This window comes from Homo sapiens, chromosome 14 (genome assembly GCF_000001405.40).
Source record: "Homo sapiens chromosome 14, GRCh38.p14 Primary Assembly".
Lineage (NCBI taxonomy): Eukaryota > Metazoa > Chordata > Mammalia > Primates > Hominidae > Homo > Homo sapiens.
Genome location: NC_000014.9, coordinates 37,213,325 through 37,231,091, shown reverse-complemented (window position 1 = coordinate 37,231,091; position 17,767 = coordinate 37,213,325). Strand labels below are relative to the sequence as shown.

At 39.4% G+C, this 17,767-nt stretch overlaps 1 protein-coding gene across 13 annotated transcripts in view; it reads right to left on the bottom strand.

The window, feature by feature from the left end:
* The window catches only part of MIPOL1 (mirror-image polydactyly 1), a 354,425-nt gene that overhangs the window by 321,270 nt on the left and 15,388 nt on the right, over positions 1–17,767 (bottom strand). For 3 of the 13 annotated variants that reach the window (NM_138731.7, NM_001388071.1, NM_001388074.1), the window contains exon 2: positions 3,254–3,366. The exons of 7 other annotated variants lie outside the window; for them this stretch is intronic. The gene's annotated coding sequence lies outside the window, so the exon portion shown is untranslated. Of the gene's footprint in view, positions 1–3,253; positions 3,367–11,400; positions 11,540–17,767 lie in introns of all 13 variants that reach the window. 3 more of the 13 variants (NM_001195296.2, NM_001388068.1, NM_001195297.2) reach the window with 2 other exon arrangements.

Genomic DNA, 17,767 nt, shown 5'->3' with positions numbered 1-17,767 from the left:
AATAAAATCTTTTACATTTTCTTGGTCATTAGAGTACTGACTCAAAGTGTAAGGACAGACCAATAAAAACTCACTAACTCCACCAATCAACTGTACACATTCTCCACAGATAACCGGAAAATAACATATAGATAGATAGATAGAGATATATGGAATAAAATTATATTTTGCCTCTAGTTACATAATGAATAGGTAAAATATTGAATTGTACTACATATTGGTTTACTTAAGTTTAATATTATTATCTCATCGGCTGCATTCCCTTGTTTGCCATGCAGTAGCACAATATCATTAGTATACAGCGCCACCTACTGGAGAAATAGACTCACTTTGCAAAGCTTATATATCAGTCCTTTTTATTAATTTTGCAGTAAACCTAACAAAACTGACTTTTAGAAAACCCAGCTTTTCATCTATAACATGTAATTACCCACATTTTTCCTAACCAAGATTCTGACCAAAATTTCTCATTTGATAAGTAATATTTATGAATACTTGGGATTTCTTCAACATCTTATAAAATTTTCCCATAGGAAAAAGAAAAGTGGCAGCTGATTTCTCCAAGGAAAAACTTAGTATTCACGCTGTCCCTTTAAGGAAGATGATAAAATATACAAAGCTACTCCACAAGATAGAGATATGGAGCAACACCCTGCAAGCATCACTGTAAAACTCTCTTCAAAGTTCCACTGGTCACAATAACAAACAGCTAGAGACATATACAAAAGCAGAAGCAGCGTTTCTCAACACTTTGTTGACCTTTTCCTATTAATAAATAACATAGCAAAACTTTTTTTATTTCTTAAAAATTCGGTGAAAATTTTTAGTCCTGTTAGAGCAGGTTTAAGATTATCAAAATTCACCTCTTAATAATGATTTTTAAATGCATATTTATGTATCTTGACAAGTCACAATTGTACATATTTATGCACAACATGTTGTTTTGAAATATACATTGTGGAATGGGTGCATCAAGCTAATTAACATATGCATTATCTCACATGTCTTTTTTGTGGTGAAAACACAAAATCTACTCTCTTAGCAATTTTTAAGAATATAATACATTGTTATTAACTGTAGTCACCATGTTTTACAATAGCTCTCTTGAACTTATTCCTCCTGTCAAACCGAAATTTTGTCTCCTTTGACCAACATCTCCCCAATCACTCCCATCCCCAACCTTTAGCCCCTGATAACCATCATCTTCCTATTTCTAAATCCAACTTTTTTAGATTCTACATATAAATGAGACCATGCAGTCTTTTTGTAACATATATAGTTTTAATGTAAAAATATTTTAATCCTTAATGTAACTAAACTTTGAGTCAAACCCCATTTTTGAATCATGACAAAAAGTATGTAAATTTAATTTAATAAAAGCCCCTAAAATCAATCACCAGCATAAAGAGGTATATAATCAGTAGTGACCGTAACAGATTTTTCCTCCTAATAGTTTTATTTCTACATCGCTGCATAAACTCAATATGGAATTTAAGTATATATCTCTTCATGTTGTTGACTTAATTTAATAATGTTAATTGGTCTGCTACTCTGTAATGTTAATTCATATAACCAATGGGCTTTTTGGGTTTTGTTTTGTTTTTTGGTTAGTTTAGTCTTAGTGGCAAAAATGAATAATGGGCTTGGCTGGGTGCAGTGGCTCACACCTGTAATCCCAGCACTCTAGGAGGCCAAAGGCAGATAGATCACTTGAATCCAGGAGTTTGAGACCAGCATAAGCAATATGGCAAAATCTCGTCTCTACAAAAAATACTAGCTGGGTGTGGTAGCACACGCATGTAGTCCCAGCTACTTGGGGGCTGCAGTAAGAGATCACTTGAGCCAGGGAGGAGGTTACAGTGAGCTGAGATCACACCACTGCAGTCTAGCCTGGGCAACAGAGTGAGACCCCGTCTCAAACACATACACACACAAATTAATCTTTTAATAATATTTATAAATTTAACAATGCACTCATTCATGTCTCTAGTGCCTGTTTTGCACAATACCTAGAAAAGTATATATATGTTTAAATAAGCTATATACAGTAAAGATGTTTGATGAAATTGTTGACTTATTTTAGAAACTTTACCATTTTCAATCTATTAACTTTTCTTTATTGGTCAGGATACTTATTTTACCAAATCAAATCTATTCATTTATTTAGAGACAGGGTCTCACTATGCTGACAAGGCTGGTCTCAAACTCCTGGCCTCAAGCAATTCTCCCGCCTTGTCCTCCCAAAGTGCTGGGATTACAAGTATGAGCCACTGTGCCTGGCCACAAATTGTTTTCAGTATTTCTTCTTTTGGGTGCCTTGCAACACTAATTACACACGAAAAATGTGAAGCAAAGTATTTTTGATAAGTTGATTTTTTAATTATTGTTTCAGACCTTTAACCCAACCTGAAGAGAGAAGATAAAGATAGTATCAGTGGTTGAAAGAAAGATAATTTGCTTCCTAAAGAAAGAACTACATTTCATAGGTAACCCAATACAAAGTTTTCTGCTATTCTCTGGGTCATGGTGCCATCATGTCACTACCATCATCCCTAGACCCTAGCAATAAACTGTTTGTTCTATTTACGAGGACAAGAAACTAAACGGTTTTTTAGGTAAGGTAAGGTTGGAGTTTTTGTCCTAAAAATGTTTTAATCAGAAGTCAGGAAGGTGTCCAGTTCCCCTTAAGACAATGAACTGCAAAAGGCTGTCAGTTCTCTTCCCCAAAATCCACCTGGAACTACTAAAAAAAAAAAAAAAAAAAAAGAAAAGAAAGAAATCATTGACCTGAGGAACCAACCAAAAACTTCAAGAAATCTGTGTCAACTGTCTTGAAATAGGGTTGGGGGCCACCTCAGGTGAAAGGTAGACACTGGTGATGCTGAAAGAATAGGTGAGAGAAAAATGTGTAATGTGTATGGTTCTTAAGTCCCTGATGTTGCCTTAGGTCAATCATTGTCTGTCCCACCAATACAGAAATCCACAGCAATAGCCCAAGCAGCAAGTGCCAAATGGTACTGTCAAGGCAGGGTAAAAATCTTGCTGGAGTAATGAAAAGAGATGAGATCTAACCATCATTTCCTCTTCTACTCTATCCCTTTCCAAATCCCCATCCTAGTTGGATTATAACCATAGCAGTTCCTATTAAATGTGCAGGAAAATCATATTTCCTAGCCTTATTTATATTTTGGTCACTTGAATTGTAGACAAAGTAGTGTGGGCAGATGTGATACAAGCGAATTTCAGGACTTACCATTAAAGGCATTCTATGAGCTCCTTTAGCCTTCTCTTCTCCCACAACAACCTTGAGAACCTTGCGATGGTGGCATCACAAGATAGAAGGAGCTTTAATCTCTAAGCCAAACTCTGTATGAGTGAAACACCAAAAATTATTTGGGTGTTATAAGTGCAAGATAGTCTCTCCTATCCTGGTACACAACTTAAAGAGATTGCCAGCCTACTTCCCTCAATGCTGACTAAAGGAGTTCCTTGTTGCAATAACAACAAATGTCAACAGTGATTCTGTGGTGCCTGAGACTCAATAACCTCCAGCTCACCCCACTTCCACTTGTGAAAATACACACACACATACACACACACAAACACACACACCACACACTTCATGTTTTAGACCTTGGATGTGTCTCTGTTCTGCTGCACCACCATTTCCAAACCCCAGATATGAGGAGAGATAGTATACAATGACTCTGTATAGGTTAAATAATTAACTACACTTAAAAAAATTCAAATTATTGAATACATGAATAGACTATACAGTGTTAATTGATCACCTCTTTGGGGGAAATGCACCATTTCATTTGAACAGCAAGCAGTCTCTAAGAAGCAGGAAAAGGCAAGAAATAGATTCTCCCTAAGAGATGCTAAAAATCCCCAGCCCTACTGCCATTTTCATTTTAGCCCAGTGAAAATTATTTCACATTACTGACCTCCAGAACCGTAAGATAATAAATTTGTGTTGTTTTAAGCCACCCAATTAGTGATTTTTTACAGCTGTTACAGCAGCAGTAGGAAACTAATACATATGCCTTATGAGTTCCCTAGCTCTCACAGCACCTCATATATTCAGAGACATTTTCAGCTTCTTACAAAACAAATTCAAAAGAGGCAGCATCACAGTCAAGAATTAACTGGACACTGAATTCTTAATAATCAGGAAGCTGCCAAAAATCTTATCTCCAAACTCCCAAGGAGTATTTCTCACACTACCCAGAAAGGAGTCCTAAGCCAGCATGTTAGCTGAAAGGTAAAACACTTTCCCTTTTTTTTTGAAATAGGATCTCACTCCACTGCCCAGGCTGGTGTGCAGTAGTGCAACCATGGCTCACTGCAGTCTTGAACTCCCAGGCTCAAGCAATCCTCCCATCTCAGCCTCCTGAGTTACTGGGACTAAAGGCATGCATGCACCACCACACCCAGTGATATGGTTTTGCTGTGTCCCCACCCAAAAGTCATCTTGAATTGTAGCTCCGATAATTCCCTCATGTTGTGGGAGGGACCCAGTGGGAGAAAATCGAATCGTGGGGGTGGTTTCCCCCATACTGTTCTCGTGGTAGTGAATAAGTCTCATGAGATCTGATGGTTCTATAAGGGGGAACCCCTATTGCTTGGCTCTCACTGTCTTCTCTTGTCTGCTGCCTTGTGAGACGTGCCTTTCATCTTCTACCATGATTGTGAGGCCTCTCCATCCACGTAGAACTGTGAGTCCACCACATGGAACTGTGAATCCATTAAACCTCTTTCTTTTGTAAATTGCCCAGTCTTGGGTGTGCCTTTATCAGCAGCATGAAAGCAGACTAATACAGCAAATTACTACCAGCAGAGTGGGGTGCTGCTGTGGATACCCAAAAATGTGGAATCAACTTTGGAACTGGGTAATACTCAGGGGTTGGAACAGTTTGCAGGGGTCAGAAGAAGACAGGAAAATGTGGGAAAGTTTTGAGCTTCCTAGAGACTTGTTGAATGGCTTTGCCCAAAATGCTGACAGCAATATGGACAATAAAGTCCAGGCTTAGGTGGTCTCAGATGGAAATGAGAAACTTGTTGGGAACTGGAATAAAGGTGACTCTTGTTATGTTTTAGCAAGAGGCTAGAGGCATTTTGCCACTCCCTAGAGATTTGTGGAACTTTGAACTTGAGAGAGATGATTTAGGGTGTCTGGCGGAAGAAATTTCTCAACAGCAAAGCATTCGAGAGGTGACTTGGGTGCTGTTAAAGGCATTCAGTTTTATAAGGGAAGCAGAGCATAAAAGTTCAGACAATTTGCCGCCTGACCACATGATAGAAAAGAAAATCCCATTTTCTGAGGAGAAATTCAAGCCGACTGCATAAATTTGCATAAGTAATGAGGAGCCAAATATTAATCCCCAAGACAATGGGGAAAATGTCTCCAGGGTATGTCAGAGGTCTTCACAGCAGCTGCTCCCACTGCAGACCCGGAGGCCTATGAGGAAAAAGTGGGTCAGCCACAGGGGTCCTGTGCTGTGTGCAGCCTAGGGACTTGGTGCCCTGTGTCCCAGTTGCTCCAGCCATGGCTGAAAGGGGCCACCATAGAGCTCAGGCCATGGCTTCAGAGGGTGCAAGCCTCAAACCTTGGCAGCTTCCATGTGGTGTTGAGCCTGCAAGTGCATAGAAGTCAAGTATTGGGGTTTGGGAACCTCTGCCTAGATTTCAGAGGATGTACGGAAATGCCTGGATGTCCAGGCAGAAGTTTGCGGCAGGGTGGGGCCCTCATGGAGAACCTCTGCTAGGGCAGTGCAGAAGGGAAATGTGGGGTCAGAGCCCCCACACAAAGTTCCTACTGGGGCACCACCTTGTGGAGCTGTGAGAAAAGGGCCACCATCTTCTAGACCCTAAAATGGTGTAAGTACTGACAGCTTGCACCATGTGCCTGGAAAAGCTGCAGACACTCAATGCCAGCCTGTGAAAGCAGCTGGGAGGGAGGCTGTACCCTGCAAGAACACAAGGGCAGAGCTGCCCAAGACCATGGGAACCCACCTCTTGCATCAGCGTGACCTGGATGTGAGACATGGAGTCAAAGGAGATCATTCTGGAACTTTAATATTTGACTGCCCCACTGGATTTTGGGCTTGCATGGGGCCTGTAGCTCCTTTGTTTTGGCCAATTTCTCCCCTTTGGAATAGCTGTATTTGCCCAATGCCTATACCCCCTTTATATCTAGAAAATAACTAATTTGCTTTCGATTTTACAGGCTCATAGGCAGAAGGGACTTTCCTTGTAACAGTTAAGGCTTTGGACTGTGGACATTTGAGTTAATGATGAAATGAGTTAAGGCTTTGGGGGACTGTTGAGAAGGCATGCTTGGTTTTGAAATGTGAGAACATGAGATTTGGGAGGGGCCGGGGTGGAACGATATGGTTTGGATGTGTCCCCACCCAAATGTCATCTTGGATTATAACTCCCATAATTCCCTCATGTTGTAGGAGGGACTCAATGGGAGATAATTGAATCATGGGGGTGGTTTCCCCCATACTGTTCCAGTTGTAGTGAATAAGTCTCACAAGATCTGATGGTTCTATAAGGGGAAATCCCTTTCACTTGGCTCTCACTGTCTTCCCTTGTCTGCCACCATGTGAGATGTGCCTTTCACCTTCCACCACGATTGTGAGGCCTCTCCATCCTCATGGAACTGTGAGTTCACTAAACCTCTTTCTTTTGTAAATTGCCTGGTCATGGGTATGTCTTTATCAGCAGCATGAAAGTGGACTAATACACCCAACTACTTTTTAAATTTTTGGTAAAGATGGGGTCTTGCTATGTTGCCCAGGCTGGTCTCAAACTGCTGGGTTCAAGCAATCCTCCCACCTCAGCCTCGCAAAGTGCCGGGATTACAGACATGAGCCACCACACCTGCCTGGTAAAACACTTTCTAAACAGAGTTCTCTTTCACTCAGTCACTTCCTATAACCAGTTCAGAGATGATTCATGTAGAATCATAAAATAAATATTTAGATACAGGTGCTGCCATTTATTAACACTGTAACCTTTGAGAAGTCACTTATTTTTCCTGCTTTAGGGAACTGAGGAGATAAATGGTCATCAAAATGCTAGATTTCACAACCTAGTAAAATCTCCAAAATAAAACTGTTGCCAAGTTTGTATTTTTCATAAAGGAAGGACTTTAAAAAGAAGGAGCAGTTACCATCTGTAAAAACCAGCCTCTCCTAAATTAAAGAACATTTTAGCAGTACATAATTTCAAAGACAGCCCTTTAAATTTAATAAATTTAACTTTGTAAAAAACACCCAGGAGGGGCCAGGCAGGGCGGCTCACGCCTGTAATCCCAGCACTCTGGGGGACCGAGGTGGGCAGATCTCCTGAGGTCAGGAGTTCAAGACCAGCCTGGCCATGGTGAAACCCCATCTCTACTAAAAATACAAAAAATTAGCCGGGCGTGGTGGTACATGCCTGTAATCCCAGCTACTTGGCAGGCTGAGGCAGGAAAATCGCTTGAACCCAGGAGACAGAGGTTGCAGTGAGCCGAGATCGCGCCATTGCACTCCAGCCTGGGCAATGAGAGTGACACTCCATCTCAAAACAAACAAACAAACAAAAAACCCAGGAGGATCCTGAAAAATATTGTGGTAGAGGCAGTATAGTTTTTGAAACTCCTCATATGTCTATACAGAGCAACCAGGATAGGAGACCCAAACCCATAAACAAAATATTATATTTTTAAATATTAAATATTAATATCTACCACAAAACTAAGTAAACACCAGGCCAGGCACGGTGGCTCATGCCTGTAATCCCAGTACTTTGGGAGGCCGAGGTGGGTGGATCTCTCAAGGTCAGGAGTTCAAGACCAGCCCGGCCAACATGGTAAAACCCCAGGTCTACAAAAAATAGAAAAACCAGCCAGGTGTGGTGGCGCATGCTTGTAATCCCAGCTACTTGGGAGACTGAGGCAGGAGAATCGCTTGAACCCAGGAGGTGGAGTTTGCGGTAAGCTGAGATCACATTACTGCACTCCAGCCTGGGCAACAGAGCGAGACTCTGTCTCAAAGGGAAAAAAAAGTAAGTGTGGCCCTCTCTGTCTCACTTTCACCCTTGCTTGCCTTTCCACCTTCTACCTTCCACCATAGATGAAGACCCTCTCTTTATAAATTACCCAGCCTGTGGTATTTGTTATAGTAGCACAATACCAAGGAGTAGGGCTGTTGCTATATAACAAATATCTGAATATCTGAACGTAGTTTTGGAACTAGGTAATGGGTAGAGGCTGGAAATATTTGGAGGAACAGGCTAGAAAAAGCTTAGATTGACATAAATGGAAAGCTTAGGACAATTCTGTTAAGGGCTCAGAAGATGAGCTGTAGGCCAAGTTTGAAACTTCTTACAAATAACTTAAGAGATCATGATTAGAATCTTGGTAGAAATATGGACAGTAAAGGCTATTCTGATGAGGTCTCAGATAGAAATGAAGAACAAGGTATTGGAAACTTGAGTAAAGGCAATCCTTGTTATAAAGTTGCAAAGAACTTGGTTTAATTATGTCCATGCCCAAAAGGCTTTATGGAAGGCAGAATTTAAGCTCAATGCACTAAGATATCTGGCAGAAGAAATTTCTAAGCAAAATACTGAAGGAGCTGCATGGTTACTTTCAACCAATCTGGGCAACATAGAGAGCTATAACCTCTATAATAAGTTAAAAAAAAAAAAAAAAAGCCAGGTGTGTTGATGCATGCCTGTAGTCCCAGCTACTCAGGAGGCTGAGGTGGGAGGATCACTTGAGCCCAGGAGGTCCAGGCTGCAGTGAGTTGTGATTGTGCCACCGCACTCCAGCCACCTGGGAGACAGAGCGAGACCCAATCTCAAAAAAAAAAAAAAAGCAATGTTTTCGCTGTTAGGTTTTGGACTTAATTGGGACCAGTTATCCCTTTCTTCTTATCTATTTCTCTGTTTTGTAACAGTAATGTCTCTCCTATACCTTTGCCACTTGTATTTAAAAAGCATATAGCTTGTTAATTTCACAGACTCACAGTGGGAGAGGAATCTGTCTTGGGATGATAGCACCTTGAGTTTCAACTGTATCTGATTTGTTTGTTTATTTATTTATTTATTTATTTATTTTTCTATTTGATTTCAATAAGACTGGAGTTTGGACTTTTGAGTTTATGCTGGAACAACTTTTGGGGCTGCTGTTTATGAGAAGAACATGAGTTTTGTGGAATGAGGAGCAAAATGCCATGGTTTGAATGTCCCCTCCAAAACTCATATTCAAATTCAACTGCCATGTGATATGGTTTGGTTCTGTATCACCACCCAAATCTTACGTGCAACTGTAATCCTCAGTGTTGGAGGAGGGTCCTTGTGGAAGGTAATTAGTTCATGGAAGCAGACTTCCCATTTGCTGTTCTCATGAGAGAGAGTTCTCACGAGATCTGGTTGTTTTAAAGTGTATAGCACTTCACCCTTTCCTCTCTCTCTCTCTTGCTCCACAATGTGAAGATGTGCCTGCTTCCCCTTCACCTTCTACCATAACTGTTGGTTTCCTGAAGTCTCCCCAGCCATGCTTCCTGTACAGCCTTTGGAACTGTGAGTCAATTAAACCTCTTTTCTTCATAAATTATCCAGTCTCAGGTACCTCTTTATAGCAATGTGAGAACGGACTAACACACCACGTGACAGTATTAACAGGTGGGACTGTTAAAAGGTGATTAGGTCATGAGGGTTCCACCCTCATGAATGGATTAATAACATTATCACAAGAGTAGTTTTGTTCAATGGGCCTGCTCTTGTTCTCATCTTTCCACCTGTTGCCATGAGATGACAAGCACAAAGGCCCTTGCCAGATGCCAGCACTATGCTCTTGGACTTTCCAGTCTCCAGAACCATAAGTCAAATAAGTTTCTGCTCATGATCAGTTACCCAAACCGTGAGATTCTCTTATAGCAACACAAGATGAACTAAGGCAGGTACATTTACATGTAGAACCTGAGCTTCCAGAACCAACCTGTTAGTAATCATGAGACAAAATATTTTCAAATGAGATTTTAATTCTAAAAAAAAAAAAATTAACAAACAAAGCATAGGCATCTAAATATGTGTCGGTACGGCTTAGGCAACACAGCAAGACCCCATCTCTATGAAAAAACTTTTTTAAAACAATTAGCTGGGCGTGGTGGTGCACACCTGTATTCCTAGCTACTGAGGAGGCTGAGGTGGGAGGATTGCTTCAGACAAGGAGTTCGAGGCTGCAGTAAGCTATGATCATGCCACTGCACTCCAGCCCGGGGGACAGAGGGAGACTCTCTATTAATAAGCAAATAAACAAATAGAGACATGTAGGTAGATTTTAATTTAAAATAAGATGAAAATTAATTACCTGCATGAAATAAAGACAATAGAAATTAAGATGCTGAAATCCTAAAACCAGTTTCTTACTTATAAAGAATCAAAAGGAAATTGTGACAGTGCATTTTTGTACATGAACTTTCTAAGCTGCAGTTCACTTACCCAAATGAATTAGAATAATCTAGCCCATGGTGCCAGCTCATGCCACTGAATAAAATGTTCTACTTTGGGATATCATAAGCTATAACACACAATATCTGCACTCCCATGCTGGCAATAAGCTGTTTGACATAAATTAAGGAAGTGGCTTCAATTTACATTAAACTTAAAAGATAATAAAAGTATTAAAGTACTAATTACTTTCAAGACATGCTGCTTAAAGAAGAAGTTTGTCATACTTCAAAAAATAATTCATTAAAAAGAAGGAATTTCGATGTTTAAATTTTTTTTTAGATTATATGTACATGTTTGAGACGATGCAAAACAGCATTTCAGCATTCAAATTCAAAAAAATATCCACAGGAAATTACCTTTCAGATTCCCTCCAAGAATGTAACGTAATAATACAAAAGTTTTTCTAATTATGTGACGAACACTTATATCCTCATACCTTAAAATAAAATTAAAGGATCTTAGGTCACATTTGATAAAATGATACATTCTAAAATCAAAATGTTATTTAAAATAACAAAAGGCACACAAAGTAAAAACATTCCAAAAACTACCCTTTCCTAACGATGTCTTATTTAGGATAATAGAGCACAATGAAAAAAGCATGCAAATACTAATCAAAAGAAAGCAGGGGTGGCTATATTCATATCAGACAATATAAAACAAAGATATTACTCAAACTAAATAAGTACATTAAAAGTTTCAACTTACTAGCTAAACATAAGCAACCCTAAATATGTAAGCATTTAACAAAACAGCATCAAAGTACCTGAGGTAAAAACTGGTGAAAAGAGAAAGACAAATCCATAATTATAGTCGGAAATTTCATCACACCTCTCTCAGTCATCAGAATACATGCTCAGAAAATCAGTAGGGATACAGAAGACTTAATACCTCAGTGACAGAGATCCTTGCCATAGTCAGATGCAGTGATTCACACCTGTAATTCCATCACTTTGGGAGGCCAACGCAGGGGGACTGTTTGAGCCCAGGAGTTCGAGACCAGTCTGGGCAATATAGTGAGACCTCGTTCCTACAAAACATTAAAAAAATTTTAGGCAGGCATGGTGGCACACGCCTGTGGTCCCAGCTACTCTGTAGGCTGAGGTGGGAGGATCACTTGATCCCAGGTTGAGGCTGCAGTGAACAGTGATCACACCAGTATACTGTACTCTAGCCTGTGTGACAAAGCAAAATCCTGTCTCAAAAACATAAAAAATAAATAAAAAGGATCTTGCCTTGACCAAACTTTAATGAGGCTCCTTTGAACCCTTTACTATACTAGCCCTCAACCTTTTGGGTTTCTGTGTCTGTCTCTGCATCATCCAGTTTTAGCAAGAATTCTGCTAAGTCAGTTTACTGAGAATCCTCCATCTTTGATCACTGTAGCCTGACTTCAGCAAGAATCCTGTCAAGTTGGTTTAACCACAATCTTCTCTAACCCTGATGATTCCTGTTAGTAACTTTCCATCCACTGACCCCCTCCCTGCTCCTTAGCTGTAAAGTCCCATTTGCCTATGCTCATGGGAACCCAACCCACTTCTATATTGAGGTTTCTTTTCCCCTATTGCATTAGTTCCTAAGTAACATCTGCTTTTACCACCTTTACTATTAATATTACCTAGCTCTGGTTTTCTTTTTTCTTTTTTTTTTTTTTTTTTGAAATAGGGTCTCACTCTGTTGCCCAGGCTGGAGTGCAGTGGTGCAATTATGGCTCACTGCAGCCTCAAATTCCTGGGCTCAACCAATACTCCCACCTCAGCCTCCTGACTAGCTGGGACTACCACACCAGGCTAATTTTTCTATTTTTTTATAGAGACGGAGTCTCTTCATGTTGCCTATGCTGGTCTTGAATTCCTGGGCTCAAGTGATCTGCCTAACTCAGCCTCTCAAAAGTGCTAAGATTCTGGGTGTGAGCCATCACACACAGCCTCTGTTTTTCTTAAACATTAATCCATTTCACTTAACATTTATTTAAAAACCCCATCCAACAATGGCAGAATACACAATATTTTCAAGTGCACATGATGCATTTACCAAAATAGACCCTATTCTGGGCCATCAAACAGACCTCAACACACTTATAAGAGATAAAATCGGCCAGGCGCAGTGGCTCACGTCTGTGATCCCAGCACTTTGGGAGGCCAAGACAGGAAGATCACTTGAGGTCAGGAGTTCCAGATCAGCCTGGCCAACATGGTGAAACCCCACCTCTATTAAAAAAAAAAAATACAAAAATGAGCCAGGCATTTTGGTGCACACTTGTAATCCCAGCTACTCGGGAGGCTGAGACGTGAGAATTGCTTGAATCTGGGAGGTGGAGGCTGAAGTGAGCTGAGATTGTGCCACTGCACTCCAGCCTGGGCAACAGAGTGAGACTTTGTCTCAAAAAATAATAATAATAATTAAAAAAAGATGAAATCATGAAAATTATGTTATCTTACCACAATAACTAAAAATAGAAAAGAAAGAAACTAGAAATCAGTAACAGAAAGATAAGCTGAAAAATCCTTAAACAATCCCAAATAACCCATCGTTCTAAAAAGGAAGCTAAAAGGGAAACTTCTGAACGAGATAAAAATGGAAACACAACATTTTGAACTAGATAATTTTTTTAAATGTGAGATGTAGCTAGATCAATGCTTAAAAGTAAATCCATAGTACTAAGAGCATATTTTTAAAAAGAAGGAAGACCTCTAACTAGGACTTACAGTACTATGTTGAATAACAGTGGTGAAAGTGGGCATCCTTATCATGTTCCAGATTTCAGAGGAAAGAATTTCAGTTTTTCCCCATTCAGTATGATATTAACTGTGGGTCAGTCATATCTGGCTTTTATTATGTTGAGGTATGTTCCTTCTATATCCAGCTTTGTGAGGGTTTTTACCAAGAAGGGAAGCTGAATTTTATCAAATCTTTTCAGCGTCAATTGAAATGATTGTATGGTTTTTATCCTTCGTTCTGCTCATATGATGTACACATTGATTGATTTGTGTATGTTGAGCCATCACTGTATCCCAGGGAAAATCCCACTTGGTCATAATGAATGATCTTTCAAATGGATTGCTGAACTCGGTTTTAGTATTTTGTTGAGAATGTTTGCATCAATATCCATCAGAGAGATTGGACTGTGGCTTTCTTTTTTTGATGTGTCTTTGTCTGGTTTTGGTATCAGGGTAATTACGACCTCAGAGAATGTTTGGAATATTCCCTCCTCCTCTATTTTTCAGAATAATTTGAGTGGGATTGGTATTAAGTTTATCTTCAAATGTTTGTTAGAATTCAGCAGTAAAGCCATCAGGTCTTGGGCTTTTCATCACTGGGAGACTTTTTATTATGGCTTCAATCTCATTACTTATTACTAGCCTGTTCAGGTTTTGAATTTCTTCCTGGTTCAAACATTGTAGGTTGTAGGTATCTCAAAATTTGCCCATTTCTCTTACATTTTCCAATTTATTGGTATATGGTTGCTCATTAATGATCCTTAGAATTTCTGCAGTATCAGTTGTAATGTCTCATTTTCATTTCTGATTTGGATCCTCTCTTTTTTCTTAGTCTGACTAAAGTTTTGTCAACTTTGTTTAACTTTTCAAAAAGCCATATTGTTTTATTGGTTGTTTGTATTTTTTATTAAAATTTCATTTATTTCTATTCAGATCTTTATTCTTTTCCTCTAGTAATGTTGGATTTGGTTTGCTCTTGCTTTCACAGTTCTTTAAAAGCAATGTTAGATTGTTCATTTGAAGTATTTCCTCTTTTTTAATGTAGGCACCTATAGTTATAAAATTCCCTCTTAGTACTGCTTTGGCTGTATCCCATAGGTTTTGTTATGTTGTGTTTCCATTATCATTTGTTTCAAGAAATTTTTCAATTTTCTTCTTCATTTCTTCATTGACCAGCTGGTTATTCAGGAGTATACTGTTTAATTTCCAAGTATTTGTCCAGTTTCCAAAATTCATCTTGTTATTAATTTCTAGTTTTATTACATTGTGGTCAGAAAGGATGCTTAATATTATTTCAATTTCTCTGAATGTCTGAAGACTTGTTTTGTGAACTAACATATGGTCTATCCATGAGAATGATGCATGTGCTAAGGAAAAGAATGTGTATTCTGTAGCTCTTCACTTAAATGTTCTGTAACTATCTATTAGGTCAATTTGGTCTATAATGCAAACGAAGTTTGATGTTTCCAAGTTGATTTTCTGTCTGGAAAATATGTTCAATACTGAAAGTGGGATGTTGAAGTCTCCAGCTATTACTGTATTGAAGCCTATCTCTCTCTCTTTATCTCTAATATTTGCTGTATATATCTGAGTGCTCCAGTGTTGGGTGCATATATATTTTAAATTGTTATATCCTCTTGCTGAATTGACCCCTTTTTCATTATATAGTGACATTGTCTCTTTTCATAGTTTTTGTCTTGAAATCTATTTTGCCTGATATAACTAGCTCCTTTCTGGTTTCTGTTGGTATAGAATAGCTCTTTCCATCCCTTTCTTTTCTTTCTTTTTTTTTTTTTTTTTGAGATGGAGGTTTGCTCTGTCACCCAGGCTGGAGTGCAATGGCATGATCTTGGCTTACTGAAACCTCTGCCTGCCAGTTCAAGTGATTCTTCTGCCTCAGCTGGGTAGCTGGGGTTGCAGGTGCCTGCCACCATGCCTGGCTAATTTTTGTATTTTTATTAGAGACAGGGTTTCACCACATCGGCCAGGCTGCTCTCGAACTCCTGACCTCAGGTGATCTGCCTGCCTTAGCCTCCCAACATGCTTGGATTACAGGCGTGAGCCATCACATCTGGCCGATCCCTTTATTTTCTGTCTGTGTGTCTTCATAGGTGAAGTGTGTTTCTTGTAGGCAACAGATTAACAGGTCTTGTTTTTTCATCAATTCAGCCATGCTATGTCTTCTGACTGGAGAGTTTAGTCCATTTATATTCAACATTGTTATTGATGAGTAAAAACTTACTCCACCTACTTTATTTGTTCTCTGGTTGTTTTACAATATTCTCTTCCTTCTTTATTTCCATCCTGTCTTCCTCTAGTGAAAGTGATTTTCATTGGTGATGTCATCCAGTTTCTTGCTTTTTATTTTTTTGTGTATCCATTTTATGTTTTTGGGTTTGAGGTTACCATGAGCTGTAGCGACCAGCCCCAGAGGGTCAGTGGGTTTTTCTCCCCGTGTGCGGAGACAAAAGATTGTAGAAAAAAAGACACAAGACAAAGAGATAAAAGAAAAGACAGCTGGGCCCAGGAGACCACTACCACCAAGACACAGAGACCAGTAGTGGCTCCAAATCCCAGGCTGCGCTGTTATTTATTGGATACAAGACAAGGGGGCAGGGTAAGGAGTGTGAGCCATCTCCAATGATAGGTAAGGTCACATTGGTCACGTGTCCATTGGACAGGGGGCCCTTCCCTGTTGGGCAGCCAAGGCGGACAGAGAGAGAGAGAGAAGACAGCTTACGCCATTATTTCTGCATATCAGAGACTTTTAGCACTTTCACTAATTTTGCTACTGCTATCTAGAAGGCAGAGCCAGGTGTACAGGATGGAACATGAAAGCAGACCAGGAGCATGACCACTGAAGCACAGCATCACAGGGAGATGGTTAGGCCGCCGGATAACTGCGGGTGGGCCTGACTGATGTCAGGCCCTCCACAAGAGATGGTGGAGTAGTCTTCTCTAAACTCCCCGAGGGAAAGGGAGACTCCCTTTCCCAGTCTGCTAAGTAGCAGGTGTTTTTCCTTGGCACTGATGCTACCGCTAGACCACGGTCCGCTTGGTAATGGGTGTCTTTCCAGACACTGGCATTACTGCTAGACCAAGGAGGCCTCTAGTAGCCCTGTCCAGGCGTGACAGAGGGCTCACACTATTATCTTCTGGTCACTTCTCACCATGTCCCTTCAGCTCTTATCTCTGTATGGCCTGGCTTTTCCCAGGTTATAATTGTAGAGCAAGAATTATTATAATATTGGAATAAAGAGTAATTGCTACAAACTAATGATTAATGATAGTCATATATAATCATATCTATGATCTATATCTAGTATAAATGTTCTTATTTTATGTTTTTTCTTTATTATACTGGAACAGCTCGTGTCCTCGGTCTCTTGCCTCAGCACCTGGGTGGCTTGCCGCCCACAATGAGGCTTGCAAATACTATCTATAACCCATTATTTTAATCTGAAAACAACACTATTCTCATTAACAAACAAGCAAAAAGAAAACTAATAAAAACTCTATGCCTTAACTTCATCTACCTGATTTTTAGCTTTTTGTTGTTTCTATTTACATCTTATGGTACTATGTCTTGAAAAGTTGCTGAAGTTACTACTTTTTTGTTGGTTTATCATTTATTCTTTCTACTGAGAATGAGAGTCGTTTACACACCACAGTTACCGTGCCATAGTATTCTGTGGTTTTCTGTCTACTATTACAAGTGAGTTTTGTACCTTCAGGCAATTATTTATTACTCATTAATATCCTTTTCATTCTAATTAAAGTACTCCCTTTAGCACTTCTAGTAGAACAGGTCTGGCATTAATAAAATGTCTCAGTTTTTGTTTGTCTGGGAAAGCCTTTATTTCTCTTTCATGTTTGAAGGATATTTTTGCCAGATATACTATCCTAGGGTATAATGTTTTTTTTGCCCTCCAGCACTTTAAATATGTCATGACACTAACTCCTGACCTATAAGGTTTCAACTGAAAAGTCTGCTGCCAGCCACAACGAAGCACCATTGTATGTTATTTCTATTCTCTTGATACTTTTAGGATCCATTCTTTATCACTGACCTTTGGGAGTTTCATTATCAAATGCCTTGAAATAGTCTTCTTTGGGTTAAATCTGCTTGGTGTTCTATAACTTTCTTGTACTTAAATATTGATATCTCTCTTTAGGTTTGGGAATTTCTCCATTATTATCCCTTTGAATAAACTTTCTGCCCCTATCTCTTTCTCCACTTCCTCTTTAAGGCCAATACCTCTTAGATTTGCCCTTTGAGGCTATTTTCTGGATCCTGTAGGCATGCTTCATTGTTTTTTTATTCTTTTTTCTTTTGTCTTTTCTGACTGTGTATTTTCAAATATCCTGTCTTCAAGATCACTAACTTTCTCCTACTTGACAACTTCTGCTATTAAACGACTTAGATGCATTCTTCAGTATGTCAATTGCATTTTCAGCTCTAGAATTTCTGCTTGACTCTCCTTAATTATTTCCATATCTTTGTTAAATGTATCTGACAGAATTCAAATTCCTTCACT